Below are 27432 nucleotides of genomic sequence, written 5' to 3' on the forward strand. Positions count from 1 at the left end.
GCTGGTCTTGAACTCCTGACCTCAGGTGATCCACCCGCCTCAGCCTCCCAAAGTGCTGGGATTACAGGCATGAGCCACCATGCCCAGCCGGACTTTAGTTTTTATGTGAGCAAACGATGATGTGAACATTGTGCTTTAATGGAGAGTTGGTGTTATTCACAGTTGACGGTTTTAAGAGGCAGCATAGCAAAGAACATGTACATGAGCCAGATTGCCTGAATTTTAATTCTGGCTCCACTTACCTTGAGCGAGTCACTTAATCTGTTCGTGCCTCAGTTTCCCCAAAATAGAAATAATAATGTTCGTCTTACAGGATTGTTGTGAAGACTCAATGAGTTCAATGAGAATAAAGCATTTAGAACAGTATCTGGCACATGGTAAATGCTATATGTGTTTGTTGAATAAACATCCTGGTATATGGTGGACTATTAATTATATAGGTATAAGAGAACTGAAATATGAATAATACTACCCAGGTGATTCCCCAGTTTATATTTGGCTGAAAGAGGAGCTCAGATAATTTTCTCTGTTTTCAGTTTTGCTCCCCCCTTGACTTTTTTTAAAAGGTCAGAATGAAAAGAATTCAGTCTTCTTTTATAGTCTCTAATAACTACTAAAACTATGTTCCAATATTATACAGTAGTGAAGGGGTTAAACATGTTAGGCTGTTTAATATCTTAATATATAACCTCACCTTAGAAAGGAATCTACTTAAAATTTGCTATGGTGTGGTAAAGACTGTGGAACAAAACTGAGTGTCTTCTGTTAGTATATTAGGACCTCTTGTTGACTTTTGCCCCAATTTAAATATTAATACATTTCAGAGTCACTGCTAGTTGGATTGAAGCACACCTGCCAGATGATTCTAAAGACACATGGAAGAAGAGGGGGAATGTGGAGTATGTGGTACTTCTTGACTGGTTTAGTTCTGCCAAAGATTTACAGATTGGAACAACTCTCCGGAGTCTGAAAGATGCACTTTTCAAGGTTTGCAAGTTTCATTGTTAGTTTATTGTAATTGCAGGGCATCTCTGGTTGTTAGAAAGGCATGTTAACTAGTTGTTTATCTTAAATACTAAAAGATTCATCATGCCTTTTTTTTTTTTTTTTGAGACTGAGTCTCACTCTGTTGCCCAAGCTAGAGTACAGTGGCGTGATCTCAGCTCACTGCAACCTCCGCGTCCCAGGTTCAAGCGATTCTCCTGCCTCAGCCTCCTGAGTAGCTGGGACTGCAGGCGTGAGCCACCACACCAGGCTAATTTTTGTATTTTTAGAAGAGAGGGGGTTTCACCATGTTGGCCAGGCTGGTCTCGAACTCCTGACCTCAGTTGATCCACCTGCCTTGGCATCCCAAAGTGCTGGGATTACAGGCTTGAGCAGCTGCGCCCAGCCCATCATGCTTTGATTGTAGAATTTTTTATAAATTCAGGTTTAAAAGATTTGTTTTGGCTGGGTGTGGTAAAATTAAAACTTAGGTGGAAAAAGATCTTATAAGATTACAAGATGGCCAGGCGCGGTGGCTCAAGCCTGTAACCCCAGCACTTTGGGAGGCTGAGGTGGGTGGATCACGAGGTCAGGAGATCGAGACCATCCTGGCTAACACAGTGAAACCCCATCTCTACTAAAAATTACAAAAAAATTAGCCGGGCGCAGTGGCGGGGGCCTGTAGTCCCAGCTACTCGGGAGGCTGAGGCAGGAGAATGGCAGGAACCCGGGAGGCAGAGTTTGCAGTGAGCAGAGATCGCACCACTGCACTCCAGCCTGGGAGACAGAGCGAGACTCTGTCTGGAAAAAAAAAAAAAAAAAATATTGCAAGGCAGGGCCAGGCGTGGTGGCCCATGCCTGTAATCCCAACACTTTGGGAAGCTGAGGCGGGCAGATCACCTGAGGTCAGGAGTTCAAGACCAGCTTGACCAACATGCAGAAACCTCGTCTCTGCTAAAAACAAAAAATTAGTCGGGCATGGTGGTGTGCACCTGTAATCCCAGCTACTCAGAAGGCTGAGGTAGGAGAATCGATTGAACCCGGGAGGTGGAGGTTGCGGTCAGCCAAGATCACACCATTGCACTCCAGCCTGGGCAGCAAGAGCAGAACTGTGTCTTACACACACACAAAAAAAGATTACAAGGCAGAAGACAGGCAGAAATATTTACAACACATATGGCAGTGGTTTAAAATACCTAAAATCCAAAGAGCTTCTACAAATAAGAAAAATACTTAAGATAAAATAGTAAAATAAGTCGTGGGCACAGATAGCCATGAACAGAAAGTGAAATGCAAGTGGACGTAACCATAAAAATGGCAACTTTACTAGTATCAGATAAATGCATATTAAAACGAGTGCCATTTTCACTGATCAAGTTAACAAAGGTTTAAAAAATAATACGGTTGTCCTCAGTATTTGTGGGGGATTGATGCTAGGACCCCCCACAAATAACAAAATCCATGGATATTCAAGTTTCTTACATAAAATGGTATAGTATTTGCATATAAACTACACATATTCTCTCATGTAATTTAAATCTTCTGTAGATTCCTTATAATAACTAATAAAAAGTAAGTGCTTTGTAAATAGTTGTTATACCATATTGTTTGGAGAATAGTGACAAGAAAAAAGTCTGTACATGCTCAGTACAGACATAACCATCATAGGCCTAACTATATATTTTTTAAATTTATTTGTTTTAATTTTAATTTTTATTTTTTTAAGAGACAAGGTTTTTCTCAGTCACCTAGACTTGAGTGCAGTGGCACAATCATAGCTCACTGCAGCCTTGAACTCCTGGCTCAAGTGATCCTACTGCCTCAGCCTCCTGAGTAGCTGGGACTACAGGTACGCACCATGCCTGGCTAATTTTTTAAAATTTTCTAGTAGAGACAAGGTATTGCTATGTTGCCCAGGCTAGTCTCAAACTCCTGGCCTCAAGCATTCCTCCCACCTTGGCCACCCAAAGTGTTGGGATTACAGGCGTGCACCACTGTGTTGGGCATCTAAGTATATATATATATATATTTTTTTAATTTAATTTAATTTTATTTATTTCGAGATGGAGTCTCACTCTGTCACCCAGGCTGGAGTGCAGTGGTGCAATCTTGGCCCACTGCAACCTCTGCCTCCCAGGTTCAAGCAATTCTCCTGCCTCGTCCTTTCCAAGTAGCTGGGATTACAGGCGCCCACCATCATGCACAGCTAATTTTTTACTTACTGTTTTTTGAAGACATATCTTACTCTGTTGCCCAGGCCAAAGTGCAGTGGTGCCTTCTCAGCTCACTGCAGCCTTGACATCCTGTGCTCAGGTAGTCCTCCCAACTCAGCCTCCTGAGTAGCTGAGGCGTGCGTCACCATCCTAGCTAATTTTATTTTATTTTATTTTTGTAGAGATGAGATTTCACTATGTTGCCCAGGCTGGTCTCAAAACTCCTGGGCTCAAACAAACTCCTGCCTCAGCCTCCCACAGTGCTGGTATTACAGGTGTGAGCCACCACACCCAGTCAATTTGTTAAATTATTAACAATGATAGCACTGAATGCTGGTGAGCATGTGGTGAGAAGAAAACTCATTCTGCTGGTAGGAGGGTCAGCTGATTGCCGTTGAGAAAGTCGGTCTTAAAAGCCTTAGAACAATTCATGCTATGACATAGGGAACCCAGAAATATACCTAAGTATGGGACAATTATATGAAACTGCCAGTATTCAACTGGCATTGACCTACAAATGGCAGTTTGGCAGTTTCATAAAGTTCAAACTAAGATATGTGAATGATTAGTGTATGATAAAGGTGACATAAATCAATGAAGAAAAGATGGATTGAAATGAATGGTTTGGGGACAACTGCCCAGCCAGTAAATAAAAGAGAATGGATCCCTACCTTATTTCTTAGACCAAGCTACATCTCAAATGAATAGACGATATAAATGTATAGATTGAAACAGCGAACTATTAGGAGAAAGCATTGGTATTTTTTAGTACCTTGATGTCAAATCAAGATGTCATAAAGGAAAATGAAGACTGTGTTTATGGCTGGCCGCGGTGGCTCACACCTGTGATCCCAGCACTTTGGGAGGCTGAGGCAGGTGGATCACTTGAGGTCAGAAGTTGGAGACCAGCCTGGCCAACATGGCGAAACCCCATCTCTACTAAAATTACAAAAATTTGCCGGGCATGATGGCGGGCGCCTGTGATCCCAGGTACTGAGGAGGCTGAGGCAGGAGAATTGCTGGAACCCAGTGGGCAGAGGTTGCAATGAGCCGAGATCGCACCACTTCACTCCAGCCTGGGCAAAAGAACAAAAGTCCATCTCAAAAAGAAAAGACATTTAACTATGTTTAAAAAACAAAAACATAAAGTAAAAATCAGGAAAAATGTTTGCAATATATATGACAAAGACCTGTTTTCCCTAATATTCAGAGTACATTCACTGTTTACTAAAAAAATTGCAAATAACTATAGAAAAAGGGGCAAAGGATACAATTATTAAATAGTTAAGTCATAGAACAATATAAATCCATAGTAAATAAATGAAAAAATGTCCAACTTCACCAATAAAGAAATGCTTATTAAAACAAGATACCATTTTATGTTCATCAGTTTTGTAAAAATTATAAAGATGTATAATGGGCATTCTCATATCCTGTTGGTTAAGTGTATAAATTGGTATAGCCTTTCTGAAGGGCAACTGGGCATCATATTAAACCAGCAATTCTACTCCTAGGTAATTATCCTAAAGAAATACATATATATACATGTATATATACACACACATATATGTACACACACACATATATATATATTTATTTACTTATTTATTTTTCGAGATGAAGTCTCACTCTTATCCCCCAGGCTGGAGTGCAGTGGCGCTATCTTGGCTCACTGCAACCTCCGCCTCTCGGGTTCAAGCGATTCTCTTGCCTCAGCCTCCCAAGTAGCTGGGATTATAGGCGCCTGCCACCACGCCTGGCTAATTTTTGTATGTTTAGTAGAGACGGGGTTTCACCATGTTGGTCAGGCTGGTCTCGAACTCCTGACCTCAGGTGATCCTCCCGCCTCGGCCTTCCAAAGTGCTGGGATTACAGGCATGAGCCACCGTGCCCGACCAATATATTTATATATATTTTTAAGTGATCATTTCTAAGATTAGCAATATATTGAAAACCTTAAAATGTTCGTGTACCTTAGCTTAAGCAACTCCCTTTCTGGGAGTTTTCCTTAAGGAGGTGACTAGGTATGTGCATGTATAAGGATCTTTTGTGTTTATTTCAGCATTGCTTATAATTAAATGGGGAAAAAACCCAAATGTTCAAACGATTGACTCAGTTTTGGGGTCTGTGTATAAAGTAGAATAGGCCATGTGCAGCGGCTCACGCCTATAAATCCCAGCACTTTGGGCTGAGCCAGGTCGATCACTTAAGCCCAGGAGTTCGAGACCAGCCTGGGCAACATGGCGAAACCCCAGCTCACGAAAAGTACAAAAATTAGCTGGCCGTGTTGGCGCGTGCTTGTAAGTCCCAGCTACTGGGAAGGCTGAGGTGGGAGGATCAATAGAGCCCAAGAGGTCAAGGCTGCAGTGAGTCGTGATTATGCCGTTGCATTCCAACTTGGGTGATAGAGTGAGACCTTGTCAATCAGTCAACCAGTAGTCGAATATTACCTAGCATTGCAAATGATGATATAGCTCTATAGTGATGAAAGATGTTCATAGAAAAGCAACATCATAAAGGTTTTATTGAAAACTCTCTATAAGAGTAAACTCCAGAATGTAAAGTGGTATTGGGGTGGTGAGGTTATGGGTCATTTTTGTTTTATATTTAGTAATTTATTTTCTAATTTTTCTTCTAAGATCATTGATTATTTGTATGGTTTTTAAAACCTCACCTATATAACCATTTCATTTAATGTTGAATTTTGAATTCAGTTCTCATTTTGTCATTATTTAGAAGATAAATTTTGTCCTTAAGGGAACAACTTTAAAATTTAGATTTGTTGTGTTTTTAGCTGTTGAAAGATTGCTGCCCTATTTAAAATATGATTTCCTTATTTATAGTGGGAAAGTAAAACTGTCCTGCGCAATGAGCCTTTGGTTTTAGAGGGAGGCTATGAAAACTGGCTCCTTTGTTATCCCCAGTATACAACAAATGCTAAGGTCACTCCACCCCCACGACGCCAGAATGAAGAGGTGTCTATCTCATGTATGTATGTGAAAATTTTTGTTTAAAATTGCTTTGGTAAAATATGGTTTAAAATTGTTTTCCCGGTAACATTCTTGGTTGTGTGTGTATTTGTCCTATTAGAGAGCAGTTTGTTTTCAGGCATAAAAATATAAGCCTGGAAGTTCACATTTTCTTTAAGACTGTTGTAATTGTTTTTTCACTTAGTTTACATTTAATTACTGCATTAACACGCATGAGAAATGTAAGTACTGTGTATGGGGTTTGCTATTCTAAAAAACATTTTTATTTTTGGAATTTTAGTGGATTTTACTTATCCCTCATTGGAAGAATCAATTCCTTCTAAACCTGCTGCCCAGACGCCACCTGCATCTATAGAAGTAGATGAAAATATAGAATTGATAAGTGGTCAAAATGAGAGAATGGGACCACTGAATATATCAACTCCAGTTGAACCAGTTGCTGCTTCTAAATCTGATGTTTCACCCATAATTCAGCCAGTGCCTAGTATAAAGAATGTTCCACAGGTATGTTCTTGATTTTAACATTATTCTCGCTTTTGTTTTAATATTAAATATATAGTATAGCTGGGCACAGTGCCTCACGCCTGTAATCCCAGCACTTTGGGAGGCTGAGAGGGGCAGATCACCTGAGGTCAGGAGTTTGAGACCAACCTGGCCAACATGGTGAAACCCCCCTCTCTACTAATAATACAAAAATTAGCTGGGCATGGTGGTGGGTGCCTATAAATCCAGCTGTTTGGGAGGCTGAGGCATGAGAATTGTCTGAACCCAGGAAGCGGAGGTTGCAGTGAGTCGAGATTGCACCACTGCACCCCAGCCTGGGTGACAGCAAGACTCTGTCTCAAAAAAAAAAAAAAGAATTAAATACATAGTATAGAAACGAAGTTTAATATATAACCTTTAACATCTTAGAAAAAAGTATCGATGAGAACAGTCTGTATGTTTTGATAAATTTTTTGTTTAAAAATTTTTCATCATAATTCAGCATTACCGCCACGCCTATATTAGAGTAGATAATTAAGGGGTTTCCAAGCCAGTTGGCGATCCATTTGCTACAAACAATGCCAATGAAAGATTGCATTATCACAGTGAATTAGAATAGCCCTTTTGGGATTTTTTGTATTATAATTTGACCCATATTATTTTCATAAATAGCTTGGCTTACATATGATAGGTATGTGATGTCAGTATTTTGGTTTTAAAACAGTGCTTTAGTTTCATTTCCTTAGAATTTGACACGCAAATAACAGGCATGTTTAACAATAATCATGTAAAAGTTTTTAAATAACCAAGACATTACAAATAAAAAAATTTTAGTTTTTATATCCTTCATTTGGCTTTATTTAAAGAAAGGTTAACTAATGTTCCCCCTCCATGCATTTCCCAATAACATTTTTTAGCATTCATTTTTAATTTTTTCCCCAGATATATTTAAAACAGTATTTCACATTTAAAGTGGATGACGTTTGATTTGTGGAGCAGGTATTGAATAGAAAATCTGGTAATTTTTTGTTATAAACTGAAGTGGTTCATTTCTTCATTTTTTTAAGGTCTTTTAGTATTGCAGAATAAATTGCAGACTAAATAGATGTGATTAAACAACTTTTCTTAAAGGGTGAATTTAGGAAAGTCTAAAAAGAGCTTCTCTATGTTATTGCATTTCCTTTCAACTTAATCTATTTAAACGCTAATCCTTTTGTGTCCCAACATAACTTTATGAGATACGTACAATTTTCAGACATATTTTGAAGATCTTCTATATAAAAAACAGCATGAGGGCTGGGTGCCATGGCTCGTGCCTGTAATCCCAACACTTTAGGAGGCGGAGGCAGGTGGGTCACCTGAGGTCAGGAGTTCCAGACCAGCCTGGTCAACATGGTGAAACCCCATCTCTACTGAAAATACCAAAATTAGCCAGGCGTGGTGGTGCGTGCCTGCAGTCCCAGCTACTCAGGAGGCTGAGGCAGGAGAATCACATGAACCCAGGAAGCAGAGTTGTAGTGAGCCGAGATCAGGCCACTGCACTCCAGCCTGGGTGAGAGTGAGACTCTGTCTCAAAAAAAAATAAAAATAAAAATAAGACAGCATGAAAGTTTGTATATACAAGAGATGGGTTCTTCTGATGTTTGGAAGGAGAGATCTGTATAAAATCAGCCACAGCATAAGGCAGAATATCATAATTGCTCTACAAGGCACTGGAGCACAGAGCAAGGAGAATATTCTAGCTGAGAAGATCAAGGACGTCTTCATGGAGGAGACAGTATTTTATCTGGGCTTTAAGAGTAGGATTGGAGGATAGAAGAAACAAGTAGAAAATTCTATGACCAAAGGCATAGGGCATGCTCTGGGGCCAGTGAACAGTTTTGGCATATGTGGGCGCTAGTCTCTGTTGGAGAGAGGAAGTTATGATAGTAGATAAGATTAGAAGGATGGACAAGAGTCATCAAGAGAGACTTGGATCAAATTTGAATTTTGTCCTGTAGGCACAAGGAACCATTAAAGAATTTTAAACTTGAGAGTAACATGATCATAACTATACTTTTAAAATTAGGGAAAAATAGATCAAGCCACCAAAATGTAAATGGAAACAACATTTATTTTTGTTTCTGTTCCACCTCTTATTGTTAACCTCATCCCCATAGTGGTTCTTCCTACTTTATTCTCAAATACATGCAAAAAAAAAGACAAAGGATTTTTTTTAAGAGGCAGAAAGAGAAGTGAACAGGAAAAAAATTATTTTTTCTACACTAACCTCGTTTTCTTTTTCTTTTCTTTTTTTTTTGAAAACGGTCTCACTCTCTCACCCAGGCTGGAGTGCAGTGGCGTGATCACAGCTCACTGCAGCCTCGACTTCCTGGGTTCAAGCAATCCTCCCACCTCAGCCTCCTGAGTAGCTGGGATTATAGGCACATGCCACCACGCCCAGCTAATTTTTGTATTTTTTTTGTAGAGATGGGGTTTTGCCATGTTGCCCAGGCTGGTCTCGAACTCCTGGCCTCAAGTGATCTATCCGGCTCGGCCTCCCAAAGTGCTGGTATTACAGGCGTGAGTCACTGCGCCTGGCAACTTCTTTTATTTTCTAGTAGAAAAACATAAATTCGTTTTGTAAGAACACTATGTAGATTGTTATTGGCACATGTTCTTATAAGTTTTTATTTTTCTTTCAGTACACAGTATTCTCAAGAAATGATGTTAGGGTCACTTCTCTAGTGTTAACATGCTGTTAAATTGAGGTAATAAACATTTAACTCATTAAATCAGGAACTTAGGTAGTTTATTACACAACCTGAAGGAAACTAGTTAGTATTTTACCTCATGTAAAAGTTTTTAGGGAAGATTGCATTTGTTCCCTCAGTAACATAGTTACTAACTGTGCCAGGCACAGTCTTTATCCTTTTAGAGCTTATATTCTAGGAGGGAAGAAAAATTTTAAATAAGTAATTATAGTTATTTGATCAGAATTCCGGTAGAGAAGAATAAAGTATTATAAGAGCATGTATCAGGGGACTTGGCTAGTTCTAGGAACCAGGGAAGTCTTTTCAGAGGGAGAGATGTGTAAGCCAAGACCTAATGTGGGCATTATCTAGATGAACAGCTGATAGACCTAAGTTGGGAAGGAGCATGGCATCTTGGAATAATTTTTTTTTTAAGGCAAGTATAGCTGGTATACACAGCCATATGACTGGAGAGGTAGGCAGATGTAAGACCATACAGGGCATTACAGACTATGGTAAAGATTTTAGGTGTACTGAGAGCATAGTGGGTAGCAAATCAAATTTGTTTTAAAATGAGTCCTCTGGCTATAATGTGGAGAAACAGATTGGGGGGCGGGGGCAAGAGAAGAGATGGGCAACTAGTTGAAAGCTATGCTGTAGTCCTGGTGAGAGAGGAGGTTGACATGGTCTTAGCCTGTGGTAGAAGAGATGGAGGGACAGATATAGGAGGAAAATTAACAGCGTGCAGAAGGATATGGGAAGAACATATCATGGGACTCAGGTTTTTGATTTGTGCAACTATTGGGAGAGTGAGAGTGGTTACATCCATGAGATTAGGACCATGTTTGTCGGGGTGGGGGGAATCGTGAATCCGTTTTGGCTGTATGGGGTTTGAGATACATGTGTTGACACTCAAATGGAAATATTGGGTAGGCATTTGGATACCTGGAAGTGGAACTTAAGTCTAAGTATGCCCAGGTCTAGGTTTTATGTTTTAGAATAAAGACATTTTTAACTCTTTTGTATACAAAACACTCAGGAAGAATTGAAAGTGTTGAATCAAGAGGATGTAAGTTCCAGTGATGTTTGAATATCTACCATTCAAGTTCTGTTTTATGAGAAATCTTGACACTGAGTAATTAACAAATAGATGTGCTGATAGATGTTGTCTCCACAAAGTGACACTTCTTTTATCACAACTTGATCTCAAGAACTGAGGTTATTTCCTGATTTTTGACAAAAATGTTTTGCTCTGGTTTTGTTGCTCTAGATTGATCGTACTAAAAAACCAGCAGTCAAATTGCCTGAAGAGCATAGAATAAAATCTGAAAGTACAAACCATGAGCAACAATCTCCTCAGAGTGGAAAAGTTATTCCTGATCGTTCCACCAAGCCAGTAGTTTTTTCTCCAACTCTCATGTTAACAGATGAAGAAAAGGCTCGTATTCATGCAGAAACTGCTCTTCTAATGGAAAAAAACAAACAAGAAAAAGAACTTCGGGAAAGGCAGCAAGAGGAACAGAAAGAGAAACTGAGGAAGGAAGAACAAGAACAAAAAGCCAAAAAGAAACAAGAAGCTGAAGAAAATGAAATTACAGAGAAGCAACAAAAAGCAAAAGAAGAAATGGAGAAGAAAGAAAGTGAACAGGCCAAGAAAGAAGATAAAGAAACCTCAGCAAAGAGGGGCAAAGAAATAACAGGAGTAAAAAGACAAAGTAAAAGTGAACATGAAACTTCTGATGCCAAGAAATCTGTAGAAGATAGGGGGAAAAGGTGTCCAACCCCAGAAATACAGAAAAAGTCAACAGGAGATGTGCCCCATACATCTGTGACAGGGGATTCAGGTTCAGGCAAGGTAAGCAGAAACAGTACAAATTGCCAACGAAGTGAAAGAAAATGTATATGAAAATGTGAAAACACCAGTGGCATTCCATAAAAGGGCAGGCATTTCAAATAGTCTTTTCAGGGGTGATAGAATGTACTGATCTATCCACATTTGCTCATCTATTCTCCTTTGAGGCCAGTGCCATACATTTATGAAATGATTGGTTGGGAATGAAATTGCTTTTTGTATATTACATCTATAAAATGCAATATATTTCAAATAATTGAGATAAATAGCTACATTCTTCATTTTTATGTTTGATGTATGATCATGGGAAGACTAGAGTGAAATATAATCTCCTTCTCAGTATGGGGAAACTAGATGCTAATATTTGTATGATAGAATTTATATCTGTTTAGAATATATCCAAAATCAGTGACATCTAAATGGCCTAACATTTATCTTTGCATATAGTGATTTTTTGGTCAGATCGGTGTCATTTTGTTTCTTGCTTTATCTATTTAAATAATATTGGCAAATAACCCAATTAATTTTGCCCTTGGCTACACACCCAAAATTGATAGCCGTAATTTTAGGGGACTTTTTTTGTTATTCTTTTTCAATCTCTAATAATGCTATGCTTTTCTTTTTTTCTTCATTATGTCATTAACAATGCCTTTTCCTTTTGAACACCAAGTATATGTTTATAATACCAAGAACAGTTATGGTCCTTTTTACATATGTATAAATGGAAAAAACATTTTTAGTAGTGTGGAAATGACTTCTAATGGAAGGCGGGATACCATCTTTACAGAATGTCAATTTCTATACTTCTCAAACACAATTCAGGCATGTTACCAAAATTAATTCATAGTCAAGCTGCTCTTATCCAGGGAACACTTATCTGGTAACCTCTGCTATTAAAAAAGATAGCTTCCATCCAAAAACCTTCTAAACACCCCAAATTGGGGATATGAAGCCCATGTACTAAAACTCTCTAATTTTATTCACAGGAGGAGCAAAACATGTGCACTCCAAGATACAATTTAAGTATTATTCATTGAGTAGCTACTATATGCCAAGTATTTTCACTGCATTGTCTTATTTACCCCTAATGATAACCCCATAAGGTATTTAATTTACAAGTGAAACTGAAGTTTAGAGGTTAAGTATTTGCCTAGGATCACATAGACAGTGAGATTCCAAAGCCACTTCTTTTCCATCTTGCTATACTAGAGGCATGCAGTCTTTAGAACTTAAATCATTCATATTTGTGGAGTCATTTAGTATATAGGTGCCAAATATTCCTACACATCTAAGATTGCATTCTTTGTGTGCTCCTTTTAAAAGTAGGAGAAATATGTAATTTATTCTAGAATAAATTTTGTTAAAATTATCACTAATTTTAAAAAGTTTTTAGTAGAGTTATTTTAAAATAAGATATAAAACAAAAATGAGTTTTTAAAAAGAATCTACGGGCCGGGCGCGTTGGCCCACGCCTATAATCCCAGCACTTTGGGAGGCCTAGACGAGCGGATCACTTGGTCAGGAGATCAAGATGATCCTGGCTAACACGGTAAAACCCTGTCTCCACTAAAAATATAAAAAATTAGCCAGGTGTGGTGGCGGGCGCCTGTAGTCCCAGCTGCTTGGGAGGCTGAAGCAGGAGAATCACTTGAACCCATGAGGCAGAGGTTGCAGTGAGCCAAGATCGTGCCACTGCACTCCAGCCTGGGTGACAGAGCGAGACTCGGTCTCCAAAAAAAAAAAAAGAATCTGTGATGTTATAAGAAGATATGAATATAGATTTTTGCATTTTTTACTATTGGTCTGTATCTTAATTTCTTCTTTCTCTTGAATACTTCAAATTTTTTGAAGCACAACTCCTTTCAAGATAACCAAAATCGTAATAGTATTTAAATAAAAGAATAATGTTCAAATTAGGTCATGGTGAATATACATTAATGATCAGCATTTTATACTTGGCCATGTAGTGTGAACCAGTGCTTCACAGTCCACTTTGATTTTCATCTTTTTTTTTTCTTCACTGATTCATCAGAGTTCTTTAGTTTTTTAAGTATTTTGAATGTGACAGTAAAATATAATAAAATTTTCAGAGGCCTTTTTTTTCTCCTTTTACATTTTCATTCTCATAGATTCGGTTGTGTTAGCTAGTAGCTTTATGTTGGGAGGAGAATTAAAGTTTTCTTTCACTTCTGTAATTTTAATAATTTTACAGCCATTTAAGATTAAAGGACAACCAGAAAGTGGAATTCTAAGGACAGGAACTTTTAGAGAGGATACAGACGATACCGAAAGAAATAAAGTAAGTAGTTTATTGCAGGAAAAAACTGGAAAAAAAAGCCAAACATGGATTATAACTATGTGATTATCTTACCACACTGCTATCTTTTATCATGAGATCTACAGTGTAAGGGGATCGTTGCCATCTTTGGTAGCTGGTGTTTTGCTTGTTTTTGCATGATCAATCCATTTATATGCTAAAGGAAATAGTTTGTCTTCCTGTTTAAAGTGTGACAGCGTATTCTATTTATTTTATGAAAGTAAAAAATGTTTAGGCCTTACCATATGATCCAGCAATTCTACTTCAGGGTATATACCCAAAAGAATTGCAAACAAGAAGTATTTGTACACCCATGTTCTTAGAGTATTATTCATAATAGCCAAAAAATGGAAGCAACCCAAATGTCCATCAGCAGGTGAATGCATAAACAAATATGGTATGTACATGTAATGGAATATTATTCAGCCTTAAAAAGGAAAGAAATTCTGACACGTTACAACATGGATGAATCTTGAGGTCATTTGCTAAGTGAAATAAGCCAGTTTCAGGATAAATACTGAATGATTCCATTTCTATGAGGTTTGTAAAGTAGGCAAATGTATAGAGACAGAAAGTAGAATGGTGGTTGTCAGAGCTGGAGAAAGGGGAAATGGGGAGTTATTGTTCAGTAGGTACAGAGTTTCAGTTTTACAAGATGAAAAGAGTTCTGGAGATTGTTGGCACAGCAATATACTTAGTATCACTAACCAGTGCACCTAAAAATGGTTAAGATGGTAAATTTTATGTTATGTGTATTTCATCACAATTTTTTAAATACATAGGCTTTGTATAAGACATCTTTGCTGGGAGCGGTGGCTCACGCTTGTAATCCCAGGCAGGCAGATCACGAGGTCAGGAGATCGAGATCATCCTGGCTAACATGGTGAAACGCCGTCTCTACTAAAAATACAAAAAAAAAAATTAGCCGGGCGTGGTGGCAGGCACCTGTAGTTCCAGCTACTCGGGAGGCTGAGGCAGGAGAATGGCATGAACCAGGGAGGCGGAGCTTGCAGTGAGTCGAGATCGGGCCACTGCACTCCAGCCTGGGCAACAGAGTGAGACTCCATTTCAAAAAAAAAAAAAGGCTTCTTTGCCTTTGTTTTTCCTTCAGAGCTTGAGATACAATTTGCATACCATAAAATTCACCCATTTTTAGCATGCAGTTTAGTGATTTTTTTTTTTTTTTTTTTTTTTTTTTTTTTTTAGTAATTTAGTGTTGTGAAACCATTAATACAATCCAATTTTAGAACATTGCCGTCACACCAAAATGACCCCATGCCCAATTTAGTCTACCCTAAAGCCCAGGCAACACTGAGTCTACTCTGTCTCCATAGATCTGCCTTCTCTGGGATATATATACAGTCTTCCCTTGGTATCTGTAGATGACTGGTTCCACTACCTCCCTCTCATACCAAAATCTGAGGATGCTCAAGTCCCTTATATAAAATGGTATAGTGTTTGCATATAACCTATACACATCCTCCTATATACTTTAAATCATCTCTAGATTACATACCTAACACAATGTAAATGCTATGAAAGTAGATGTTATCCTGTATTGTTTAGGGGATAATAAAAGCCTGCACATGTTCAGTACACCCAGAGTTATTTTTTTCAAGTATTTTCAATCTGTGGATGGTTGAATTCACAGATGCAGAACCGATGAATACAGAGGACTGACTCCATATCCAATCTAAATCTATGTGAATTTAACATGTTAAATTTTTGTTAGGTCATTCTGCTGTATTTTGCCATTAAAAAAATCTGAGACCAGCCTTGGCAACATAGCAAGACCCCATTTCTCCACAGAAAGAGGGGGAAAAAAGGGTATGGTTGCTCCTGCCTGTAATTCCAGCACTTTGGGAGGCTGAGGCAGGTGGATCGCTTGAGCCCCAGGAGTTCAAGACCAGCCTGGGCAACATGGCAAAACCCTGTCTCTAGAAAAAAATATTAAAAAATTAGCTGGGTTTGGTGGCGCCTGCCTGTAGTCCCAGCTAGTTGAGAGGCTGAGGTGGGAGGATCACCTGATCCTGGGAAGGTCAAGGATACAGTGAGCCATGATCATGCTACTGCATTCCAGCCTGGGCAACAAGGGTGAGACCCTGTCTCAAACAAAAGGGGAAAAAATGACATAAAATATATTAAGGCTAGAATGACTGACTGAATTCACAGTTTTCTTATTTTTGACTGCAACAGTTAAAGAGCCACAGCAACAACAAACCCATTGATATTTATACAAAAAAAGTTCATTAACTACAGAAGTCAAATAATTTATACAATTTATTTGTTTAGATCTAAGATTAACTAAACATAACACATAACCCATTAAAACCATGTTGTGTAAGAATGATACAATGGACTTTGGGGACTTGGGGGCAAGAGATAAAAGACTACAAATAGGGTGCAGTGTATACTGCTCAGGTGATGGGTGCACTAAAATCTCACAAATCACCACTAAAGAACTTACTAATGGCCGGGTGCGGTGGTTCACACCTGTAATCCCAACACTTTGGGAGGCTGAAGTGGGAGGATCATTTGAGTTCAGGAGTTCGAGACCAGCCTGGCCAACATGATGAAATTCTGTCTCAACAAAAAGTAGCCGGGTGTGGTGGCGTGTGCCTGTAGTCCCAGCTACTTGGGAGGCTGAGGCAGGAGAACCGCTTGAACCCAGGAGGCAGAGGTTGCAGTGAGCCTAGATCACGCTACTGCACTCCAGCCTGGGCAACAGAGCAAGACTCCATCTGGGGAAAAAAAAAAAACAACTTATTAATGTAACCAAATATCACCTGTACCCCAATAACCTATGGAAAAATAAAAACAGAAAAAAACACGTTTTATTAAAGTTCTTCTAAGAACGAAAAATAAAATTTCTTAAGATGTGTAAGCCTTACAAAAATTAAGAACTTAAGCCTTAGTCAAACAGCAGTGCTCCAAAAGTGAAACCCAAAGGAGCTGAAAATGAGTTAACAATAAGAGAAAATGAAGAGAGAGAGAGAGAGAGAGACACACACACATGCCTTCTCTTCTTCTGACATCCTTCTGTTCCTTTTAAAGAGAAAGAGTAGGGATTAGATGACTGGAACCACAAAGTGAAGACTAAAAAATAGAAAGTGAAAATTGAGGTTTGCAGTTACTCCCACTGGTCCTGACATTCTAAGCAGGGCTTCACACCAGCTACAGCCAAGGTCTTTGGCAACATTGAAAGGAAAACTAAAGTGTCTTTGTTGGCCACCCACCATCTTGCCCCATCTCTGCCCTTCAGGAAGCAAGGGTACTCAATATATCTTCTGGCTGTCTTAAATCTCATACTGTATGATCCACTCTACACTCATTCTGTGTAAAATGCCACAGACAACTAAGTATTGATGAAATAGCATTTTAAAGTAATTCTCACGCATTAAGAAGGCTCAATAAAACTTACTGTATTTGCTGAGCAACTACTATGTCTCTAGCACTGTGCTAAATGCTTGAGGGCAGTGTTTTTAAAATCCCTAAGGTCATAATCAGTATAAGTATAAGCCTAGGTGTGGTGGCACAAGCCTGCAGACCCAGCTACTTGTGAGAGTGAGGCAAGAGAATCATTTGTGCCAAGGGTTCAAGAACAGCCTCGGCAATGTAGTGAAACCCCATCTCTAAACTTTTTTTAAATGACATTTGCAAACATTTTCTCCCAATATGTGGCTTATCTTTTCGTTTTCTTGATGGAGTTTCTTGAAGCACAGAAGTTTTTGTGGAAGTCCATTCTGTCATATTTTTCACATGTGGATTGTGCTGTTGGTATTGTATCTAAGGAACATTTTTTCTGACCCAAAGTCCTAAAGTAATGAAGATGTTTTCTTCTTAAGGTTTCAGTTTTGGTGCTTAGATCTATGATCCATTTCAAGTTAATTTTTATATACAGTGTGGTAAGGATCTAAATCCATCTTTTTGCATGTGGATATTTAGTTGTGCCATTTGCCTTCATTTTGACAGAATTTTTTTCCAGCACACATATTCTATTTATTACATGTTTGTATTCAACAGAATTTGTCACCAGGCAGGAGTACAGTGGCATGATCATAGCTCACCTGACCACCTGGGCTCAAGCCTTGACCACTTGCCTCAAGCGATCCTCCCACCTCGGCTTCCTGAGTAGCTAGGACCACAGGTGCATGCCATCACATCAAGGTTGGCTTTTTTTTTTTTTTTTTTTTTTTTTTTTTGGAGATGGAGTCTCGCTCTGCCACCCAGGCGGGAGTGCAGTGACACAAACTCAGCTCACTGCAACCTCCGCCTCCCAGGTTCAAGCAATTCTCCTGCCACAGTCTCCCAAGTAGCTGGAATTATAGGTGCATACCACCATGGCTGGCTAATTTTTGGATTTTTTTTTTTTTAGTAGAGATGGGGTTTCACCATGTTGCCCAGGCTGGTCTCGAACTCCTGACCTCAGGTGATCCACCTGCCTCGGCCTCCCAAAGCGCTGGGATTACAGGCGTGAGCCACTGTGCCCGGCCAAACCTGGCTAATTTTAAAAATTTTTTTATAGAGACGGGGTCTGTGTTGCCCAGGCCGATCTCAAAACTCCTGGGCTCAAGAGATCCTCCTGTCTTGGCCTCGCAAAGTGCTGGATTACAGGCATGAGCCACCCTGCCTGGCCTAGAATGTATGTATCTTAAGACATGAAGAATATAAAAATAGAAATGGGTGGTTCATCAGGCGTTTTTGTTTTCTATTAATTTTTTAAAGGAAGTGGAAGTATCACATTCAATTATATTGAGGTTGATGCCTCAATATATTGGCTTGTTTTTACTTATATAACATTTCATCAGTATTTTGTGGGATGAATGAATATAGAAGAAGAAATGTTAGGAGAGCAAGATGACTTTAGGTAGATTTAGAATAAGCCAAGATAATGAAGTTTTGTAGCCTTTCTTGTGAATATTCATTTGCTAGGATACTATAACGTCTATTCTCTACTTACACCTCTTAGCATATAGAGAAAAGGCACACTTAGTCCTAAAGAATACATTAGGTTTATATTTTACGTAATCGTTTGCTGTGGAAAACTAAAAAAAAAATTTTGACTAAAATACCTTGAGATGCAAAATTAAAAAAAAAAATGTGGCCTTTCTTATTTGCTTGGATCCACTGTCTTCCTCCCCGTGAACTACCACAGAAGGCCATCTACCTCCACCTTGCCACCTGCTATCATTACAGGCTTAGACATACTCCTCTACACCTTGGTATAGTAATATTTGTACTTTGAGAAAAAGATAATTTTTTTCATCTCTGAATCTGTTTTTTAAAATATGAAGGGCAGCCAAGGCAAGGTTTTTTGATTCTTTGGTACAAGTAGCTTAAGTTTTTATATGACAAAATTTAATTGAAAAATCAGATTTAAAAAAAATTTTTTTTTAATTTTTTTTATTTTATTTTAATTAGGCTCAACGAGAACCTTTGACAAGAGCACGAAGTGAAGAAATGGGGAGGATCGTACCAGGACTGCCTTCAGGCTGGGCCAAGGTAAAAGTCAGAATTAGCAGTAAAATAGCCACTGTGTTCCTAAAAAATGTTTTATTTGTTTATTTTACATCTTCTGTAATGCAGAGTCAATTCCATTTCTCCATTATAGAGAACATAGCTTATTCCCCTAATTATAACAGGGTGAGATTTCTCAATACCCAACCTGAGATGCTGGCTACAATATATGAGCATTCTGGCATTTATCATTTAGAAATAGTGTATTACTTTAAAACCTAAATTTCTTTTGAAGTTTATCGCCATTTTATTCGAATTATTTTAATCCAAAAGTAAATTTAGCAGAATACTTTGGAGTGATTTCTTTGTTTATATAATGCTTATTTTTGTTTTTTGACCTGTTTTTTTTTTTCTTTTCCATCTAAGTTTCTTGACCCAATCACTGGAACCTTTCGTTATTATCATTCACCCACCAACACTGTTCATATGTACCCACCGGAAATGGCTCCTTCATCTGCACCTCCTTCCACCCCTCCAACTCATAAAGCCAAGCCACAGATTCCTGCTGAGCGGGATAGGGAACCTTCCAAACTGAAGCGCTCCTACTCCTCCCCAGATATAACCCAGGCTATTCAAGAGGAAGAGAAGAGGAAGCCAACAGTAACTCCAACAGTTAATCGGGAAAACAAGTATGTTTATCTTAACTCCTAGAACTAAAATAATGTGCTGTATTTCAAAGTTTCTACTCTGAATCTGTCAGTATGTTAGTGTCAGGGAGTTGGAAATTTCTGTGGATGGCTATACCAGCCGTTATTATTTACCACAGAGAACAAAACAAATGAATAGAGAAAATGTTGTTGGTTTTTCTCCCAAGTGCTCACTTAATATCATACCAGAGAGGATTATTTTAAGTGTTAATGTAGATATAAAATCATTGTTATGTTTTACAGTTTCATGCCAGAGTACCCTCACGTTTTTCATAGACCGCCTGTGGTCCCGGAATCTCCCTTTGAGGACCATAATTTTCAGCAATATTGAGCTTGCCTTGTTGCAGCACTCAAGTTCCAAACTTTTTTTCCCCTTAGCCAATAATGTAAGCGAAGTTTTCCTATAGTATTAAAATAACAAGCACTTTAGTATATCATCCTCTAATCCTTATTCTGTTCCCTTTTCCTTCGTTGTAGTTTTGCTATTCTGTTTACAAATATTGACCAATAGGTTAGGTTTCCCAAAATAGTTTCATTTAGCTATACTTCTGGCTTCGTCCCTTTTGGAATCCTCTTAGCTTATGACTGATAGGGCTATGAGGAGATGATTTAAGTCTGTGTACCACTTCTAATCTTTACTTACTTTTTTGGGAGGAGGGGGGCAATAGGTGGAAGTATAAATAAATGATTTTTTTCCCATTTATTATACACTTGTATTTGCTAAGGAATTTTAATTAGGCTCTTTTAAGCCTAATCCTAAGTAAGTTGAACACATCCTAAGAAAGTTGAAATTTTTTCTTCCTGAGAACTTACCCTGCCAGGTGCAGACTTATTCGAAGGAGCTTTTAAAAATTCTATTAATCTTGTTATAGATTTTAGAGTTCATTATAATAACTAGTGAGATTTAATTTCTTCTTGAATCATTCTTAAGTGTGTTAATTTGATAATGTTTTAAGGACTGTATGCTGTTTGTGTATTTTTTTATATATTGAACAGAAAAAGCACACGAGTACATGCACCTGAGTACAGGTAAAGAGGAGCTGATTGAAATATAGTTTAATCTGTTCTCAGTATTACTTTTAGGGGTGGAAGAACGTTAAGGATTAATTAAAAAAGAAAAAAGACCTATCAGTTAAGATTTTCCTTATGCTTCAGCAGTTCTAGTAGTTCCACATATAAATCAAACACACCATATTACAGAAGTCTAGAAGGCATTCTCTGCCCCAGCACTGTCCAGCAGATCTTTCCATGGTGATAGAAATGTACTGTATCTGTGCTGTCCAGTATGGTTTGTGTCTACTTTGAAACGTGATTAGTGCAACTAAGGAATTTTTTTTTTTTGAGACGGAATCTCACCCTGTTGCCCAGGCTGAAGTGCAGTGGCATGATCTCAGTTCACTGCAACGTCTGCCTCCTCAAGCGATTCTCCTGCCTCAGCCTCCTGAGTAGCTGGGACTATAGACGTCCACTATCATGCCCAGCTACTTTTTGTATTTTTAGTAGAGACGGGGTTTCACCATGTTGGCCAGGCTGGTCTCAAACTCCTGACCTCAGGTGATCTGCCCACCTCGGCCTCCCAAAGTGGTGGGATTATAGACAGCCATTGAGCCCAGCTGGAACTGTATTTTTTTACTGTGATTGTGTATCCATCCGTGAATAGTCAACACACTCTAGAATTTAAGTAATAGTACCCAAATAACCTCTGCTTCCCTTGATATCTACTCCACGGTATGGTTTTTTTTGTTTTTGTTTTTATTTTTTTATTATTCCTCATTTGGCATTCTGGGTGAGTTCAAACATTTGATAATGCCAAACTTCCAGGGATCATTTAAAGGAGTTTAAAAGAGCCTTCTCTACTAGAGCTCCTAGTTCATGAGAAGTGAGATAATCTATCTCAAGGTGTCTCTAAGAACCATGACCCACATTAAGAGGTTAAAGGTATGTGTTTCATGGGAAGGTCTGAGACCTTAGTCGTATGACTAATGTTAACCTAAATATTAAATGTCCTGGAAGGCCCAGCATCTTATGAGTTAACATATTAACTGTTTACAAGATGCCTGTGGTACAGGTGCTACAGTTTGCTGCCATTTATAGTATAGAACCTTAATTTCATATGCTCAGCATTTTAAGACATCTTGTATCCTTTTTCTTCCTCAGGCCAACATGTTATCCTAAAGCTGAGATCTCAAGGCTTTCTGCTTCTCAGATTCGGAACCTCAATCCTGTTTTTGGAGGTTCTGGACCAGCTCTTACTGGACTTCGTAACTTAGGAAATACTTGTTATATGAACTCAATATTGCAGTGCCTATGTAACGCTCCACATTTGGCTGATTATTTCAACCGAAACTGTTATCAGGATGATATTAACAGGTAAATACATGTCATACTTTTTGCATTATAATGCTAAAAGGATGATCTAACCATATTTACTGTCTTAGTCCATTAGTTTTCTGCTGCTATAACAAAATACCTAAGACTAGATAATTTGTAAAGAACAAAAATTTATTTTCTCTTAGTTCTTGACTGGGAAGGCCATCGTCTAGGTGCCGGCATCTGGTGCGCTTTTTTGCTGCATCCTCACAGGGTAGAAGGTGGAAGCGAAAGAGGACAGACTCGTCCTGTCGAGCCCTAAACGGCACCTAATCCTGTTCACCCGGGAGGGGAGCCCTCATGGCCTTATCACCTCTTTAAAGGCCCCATCTCTTAATCCTGTCACATTGGCAACACCTGAATTTTGGAATATTTGACGTGAATCTGGTGGTAACCTATGAATAAGTAAGCATTTTGGTGTAGGGCTACAGTATGTGAATAATTTCATGTTGACATCAAGAACCCATTTTACCTTTCAAACCATAGTACTTACCACTCAGCTCCAGAAAAGTCAAATTAGGAAAGGGGAAAATATCTTTATCCTTAGGAATAATGAAGGCTGGGCATGGTGGCTCACACTGGTAATCCTAGCACTTTGGGAGGCTGACGTGGGCAGATCACTTGGGGCCCAGGAGTTTGAGACCAGTCTGGGCAACAAGGCAAAACTCCGTCTCTACAAAAATTAGCTAGGTGTGGTGATACATGCCTATAGTCCCTGCTACTTGGGAGGCTAAGGTGGGAGGATCACCTGAGCCCAGAAGGTCAAGGCTGCAGTGAGCCGTGATTGTGCCGCTATACTCCACCAGCCTGGGTGACAGAATGAGACCCTATCTCAAAAAAGAGTAAAGCCTTCTCTGATTAGTAAAGGACAGACAGGATGAGAGCAGTGCCAGAAGGCAGAACCTCGCTGTCATGAACTGGAGCCTGTTGATGATGAGGAGACCATGCAGGGCTTGCAGCCAAAAGAAGGAAGCTGAAGGGATGTAAGCAAGTCAGATTCAGATGAGAATCTGGTGGTGAGCCTGCAAATAAATAAGTAGTTTAATGTAGTGCTACAGTATGTGAATAATTTCATGTTGACATCAAGAATCTACTGTACCTTGCTTAACTTTTAAATTTCCTTTATTGTCTTTTGTAACAACTTTTATTTGCACAGGTCAAATTTGTTGGGGCATAAAGGTGAAGTGGCAGAAGAATTTGGTATAATCATGAAAGCCCTGTGGACAGGACAGTATAGATATATCAGTCCAAAGGACTTTAAAATCACCATTGGGAAGATCAATGACCAGTTTGCAGGATACAGTCAGCAAGATTCACAAGAATTGCTTCTGTTCCTAATGGATGGTCTCCATGAAGATCTAAATAAAGTAAGAAATTTGATTTTTCTAAGTTGCAGAGACTCTTTAGGGTTGCTCAGTAGCACTGTATTTTTATAGCAGTTTAAAATTCTAGTTGGTGATAGTTCAGTGCTTGTTTATTCAAATAGTGACTGTATAAGAGAATTATAAAACATCAGGTAAGTGTAATATTTGAAGCATATACAGTTGGTATTTACTAATTAACAAGCAGTATTGCTGAGAAATTTGCAAATGTTAAAATAGTTATTGGCGTTTGTGACCCACATGTATGTGAAAGTAAAATCATAAACAAATGATCTTATAAAAGATTATAGACAGTTTGAGCATTTTTATTGTATGTTATGTTTATATAATATGTATATGTTATTGTACATATCCTTATTCTTTTCTTTTTCCCAGTCCCTTGCTGAAAGTGGAACATGCCTTTATTCTTACACATCCTTCTAAAATAAGAATTACTTGGCTGGGCACAGTGGCTTATGCCTGTAATCCCAGTACTTTGGGAGGCCAAGGCTGGTGGATCACCTGAGGTCAGGAGTTTGAGCCCAGCCTGGCCAACATGGCAAAACCTCGTCTCTACTAAAAATACAAAAATTGGCTGGGTGTAGTGGCATGTGCCTGTAATCCCAGCTACTCAGGTGGCTGAAGCAGGAGAATCGCTTGAACCTGGGAGGCAGAAGTTGCAGTGAGCCGAGATTGCAGTGACCACTGCACTCCAGCCTGGGCGACAGAGTGAGACTCTTTCTAAAAAAAAAAAAAAAAAAAATTACTCCATGTAACCAAATGACTCATGTGACTAGTTATTATAAAGGCATGTATGTATACATAAATGACCACCCTCCATTTACATACTACAACTTCTTTTTAGCACTTTTTGTCTCACATATTTTGGGGTCACCATTCTTAACCACTGAACAGATATATATATATATACACACACACCTACACAAAAATATTTGTGTATATATATATACGTGTATATATACATACATATATACACATATATATACACATACATATATACATATATACGTGTATATATACATACATATATACACATATATATACACATACATATATACATATATAGAGAGAGAGAGGCTAGGGCAACAAAATTATATATGTCCAGTTGTAGCCCTAATTCCCAGCTATATGTGGGATATCTTTTCTAAAAACCAAACTTTTTAGCTTTTTCTTTTTTTAGTAGAGATTGGAGGGGGGGGTCTCACTATGTTGCACAAGTTGGTCTCGAACTCCTGGCCCCAAGCAGTCCTCCTGCCTTGGCTTCCCAGAATGCTGGGATTACAAGCATGAACCACCACATCTGGCCCTTTTCAGCTTTTTAAATAAAAATTTGGGAAATTTCAACAAGTCACATTCCTTCAATAAAGTGAGTGAGTTTTTTTTGGTATTTTTGGCTAGAATTATTTTTTGCCACACTCAGTGAGATCAGAACTCCTTTATGAGAACTACAGGTGTTTCTAAATCTGGCAAGTGTTTGTATTCACTTTTATTCTTTCAATTTAAATGTTTTCTTTGAGATATTAATATAGAGCTTAAATCATTTTATTTCCAGGCTGATAATCGGAAGAGATATAAAGAAGAAAATAATGATCATCTCGATGACTTTAAAGCTGCAGAACATGCCTGGCAGAAACACAAGCAGCTCAATGAGTCTATTATTGTTGCACTTTTTCAGGGTCAATTCAAATCTACAGTACAGTGCCTCACATGTCACAAAAAGTCTAGGACATTTGAGGCCTTCATGTATTTGTCTCTACCACTAGCATCCACAAGTAAATGTACATTACAGGTAAGTTTAAGAAGTAGAGAGAAAATGATTTATTGGATAAAAATGCTGTTTTTATGGATATAGAGATGTAAATTTCTGGTCTTTACCCTTACAAACATTTTATCAGTAAAACTCGGCCGGGCGCAGTGGCTCATACCTTGTACTCCCAGCACTTTGGGAGGCCGAGGTGGGCGGATCACGAGGTCAGGAGATCGAGACCATCCTGGATAACACGGTGAAACCCCATCTCTACTAAAAATACAAAAAATTAGCCGGGCGTGGTGGTGGGCACCTGTAGTCCCCGCTACTCAGGAGGCTGAGGCAGGAGAATGGCGTGAACCCTGGAGGCGGAGTTTACAGTGAGCTGAGATCTCGCCACTGCACTCCAGCCTAGGGGACAGAACAAGACTCCGTCTTAAAAAAAAAAAAAAAAAAAACCTTTTATCAGTAAAACTCAATATAAATTCTGTTTTATAATTAGGCCTATGTAGATTAGAAAGAATTAGAAATTTCTTTTTTAAAGATACCTTTATTAAATATTCTTTCAGGATTTCAGGATTGTTAGTATGTTTTTAAAAAGTTTTATAAGTTAATTTGGAAAGTTGTCTGTTGACTAACTTAGGCCTACTTTTCATAAGCATTTGCTTTACATGGGGATATCAAATAAATATCCTGTTTTCCATGTATCAACAATGTTTCTTATATAAAAGCTTGTTGATACCTTTAGTCTTAAAGTACCTCCAGAATGTCATTTCCTCCAACAGGGTTTCTCTGATTGACCAGGTTAGGGGCTTTCCTGTGTCCTGTCACAACACACTGTAGGTAGCACTCACCACACTCTGTGCTGTCATTGTTCACTTGTCTATGCTTCTCACTAGATCACAAGCTTTGGGAAGGCAGGAACTCTTTTGTGTAGATTGCTGTTGAATCACTGGTGCCTGCAGAGTGACTAACTAAATAGGTGCTCTCTGACATTATTGAAGAATCGAATTAACGAGTATCTGCTACTTGTTTTTTTCTGCCAGGATTGCCTTAGATTATTTTCCAAAGAAGAAAAACTCACAGATAACAACAGATTTTACTGCAGTCATTGCAGAGCTCGACGGGATTCTCTAAAAAAGATAGAAATCTGGAAGTTACCACCTGTGCTTTTAGTGCATCTGAAACGGTAAAGGGGAAAGTTTGTCCTCCTGTTCAGTGAAATTAAATGAGGGAATTTTAAGTTCTGTGTAATTTATACTTGTTGTACTGCCTGCCATGGGCACATAACAAAGGGCGATTATCTGGTTACAGTAGATCTAGGGAAATAAAGCAGAAATGAGACTGTTAGTTCACCTCAGTGTTTTCAGTACCACAGCAAAATGACAATACCACTATTTCATGTAATTCCTTATAATTTTAAATAATTACAAAGCATCAAGTGAAAATGTATAAAAATATTACAGTATAATTCAAACAAATTAGCACATGAAATGTAACATTCAAACAGCAGACTAAAGCATAACAGACTTAGTTATGTGTTAAATAAAATTTATAATTTTTAAAGTATTTTAATGATAAAATATGTTAACGATACCATTAAGTGCAGAAATAATTTCATCCAGATTTTTCCAATTGATGGAAAAGATCTAGTCCTATAATAGAAGGAATAATGACAAGAGTTATAAAACACGAACCAGATCTTTTGCTGATTCTTTGGTCTTCACATAATCACATAATCCATGTAACTCAAGAACTTTGAGTTGATTATTTGAAAAACTTTTTAAAGGAAGTTGCACTTTTTTATTGAGAGCTGTAATTTTTGTGTCAAAAAAGCATTTCTGTTAAAAATGTTTTATCTTGTATTGAGATTCTTAGTTCCATATATTAATTTCCAAATTTACATGTTCAGATTTCTCTTGTGTAAATTTTTCTAACAAAAGCTAGTTTTTTCCATTGTCCTAGTTGAGGATTCTGGAAGTATAAACATTCTATAAGTGATTACACATTTGCTAAAATTTTTAATGCTGAATATTTTCAAAATTATGAAATAACCATATTACACCAACCAAGATATCATTGTTTTGATGTTTAAAGGAGCAGAATATGCCAGAATAATGGAATGAATGACATTATTTTAGTCAGTAGTCTCCTACTCTCAATTTCTGGCTCTAGTTTTCTCTGAAGTACAAGCTTGA

The 27432-nt window shown here is 38.3% G+C and overlaps 2 protein-coding genes across 7 annotated transcripts in view, besides 1 other annotated feature; one reads left to right on the forward strand and one right to left on the reverse strand.

The window, feature by feature from the left end:
• USP8 (ubiquitin specific peptidase 8) overlaps positions 1 to 27432 on the forward strand; it is a 90017-nt gene that overhangs the window by 46404 nt on the left and 16181 nt on the right. For 2 of the 3 annotated variants that reach the window (NM_001128610.3, NM_005154.5), the window contains exons 8-18: positions 825 to 987; positions 6041 to 6185; positions 6468 to 6691; positions 10673 to 11257; positions 13467 to 13553; positions 18993 to 19073; positions 19455 to 19717; positions 21893 to 22105; positions 23262 to 23472; positions 25040 to 25276; positions 26281 to 26423. In NM_001128610.3, the coding sequence (NP_001122082.1) occupies positions 825 to 987; positions 6041 to 6185; positions 6468 to 6691; positions 10673 to 11257; positions 13467 to 13553; positions 18993 to 19073; positions 19455 to 19717; positions 21893 to 22105; positions 23262 to 23472; positions 25040 to 25276; positions 26281 to 26423 (2352 nt within the window). The remainder of the gene's footprint in view (positions 1 to 824; positions 988 to 6040; positions 6186 to 6467; positions 6692 to 10672; positions 11258 to 13466; positions 13554 to 18992; positions 19074 to 19454; positions 19718 to 21892; positions 22106 to 23261; positions 23473 to 25039; positions 25277 to 26280; positions 26424 to 27432) is intronic. The other variant, NM_001283049.2, reaches the window with a different exon arrangement.
• Positions 13269 to 13371: a silencer, noted in NCBI's record as "fragment chr15:50776274-50776376 (GRCh37/hg19 assembly coordinates)". NCBI's record gives its function as "represses an EF-1alpha promoter that drives an FKBP-Casp9 reporter gene in an ReSE screen in phorbol 12-myristate 13-acetate-treated (for megakaryocytic differentiation) K562 erythroleukemia cells {active_cell/tissue: K562(+PMA)}" and the evidence as "EXISTENCE:reporter gene assay evidence [ECO:0000049][PMID:32094911]".
• Positions 22217 to 27432, reverse strand: part of USP50 (ubiquitin specific peptidase 50) — a 53642-nt gene continuing 48426 nt past the window's right edge. For 2 of the 4 annotated variants that reach the window (XR_007064445.1, XM_047432465.1), the window contains one exon: positions 25765 to 26889. Coding sequence is in view for 1 of the 4 variants with exons in the window: in XM_047432465.1 (XP_047288421.1) it covers positions 26884 to 26889 (6 nt within the window). In the remaining 3 variants the exon portion in view is untranslated. Of the gene's footprint in view, positions 23128 to 25764; positions 26890 to 27432 lie in introns of those variants that run through there. The other 2 variants (XR_007064444.1, XR_007064443.1) reach the window with 2 other exon arrangements.

The sequence above is a fragment of the Homo sapiens genome, chromosome 15 (genome assembly GCF_000001405.40).
Source record: "Homo sapiens chromosome 15, GRCh38.p14 Primary Assembly".
In the NCBI taxonomy this organism is placed as follows: domain Eukaryota; kingdom Metazoa; phylum Chordata; class Mammalia; order Primates; family Hominidae; genus Homo; species Homo sapiens.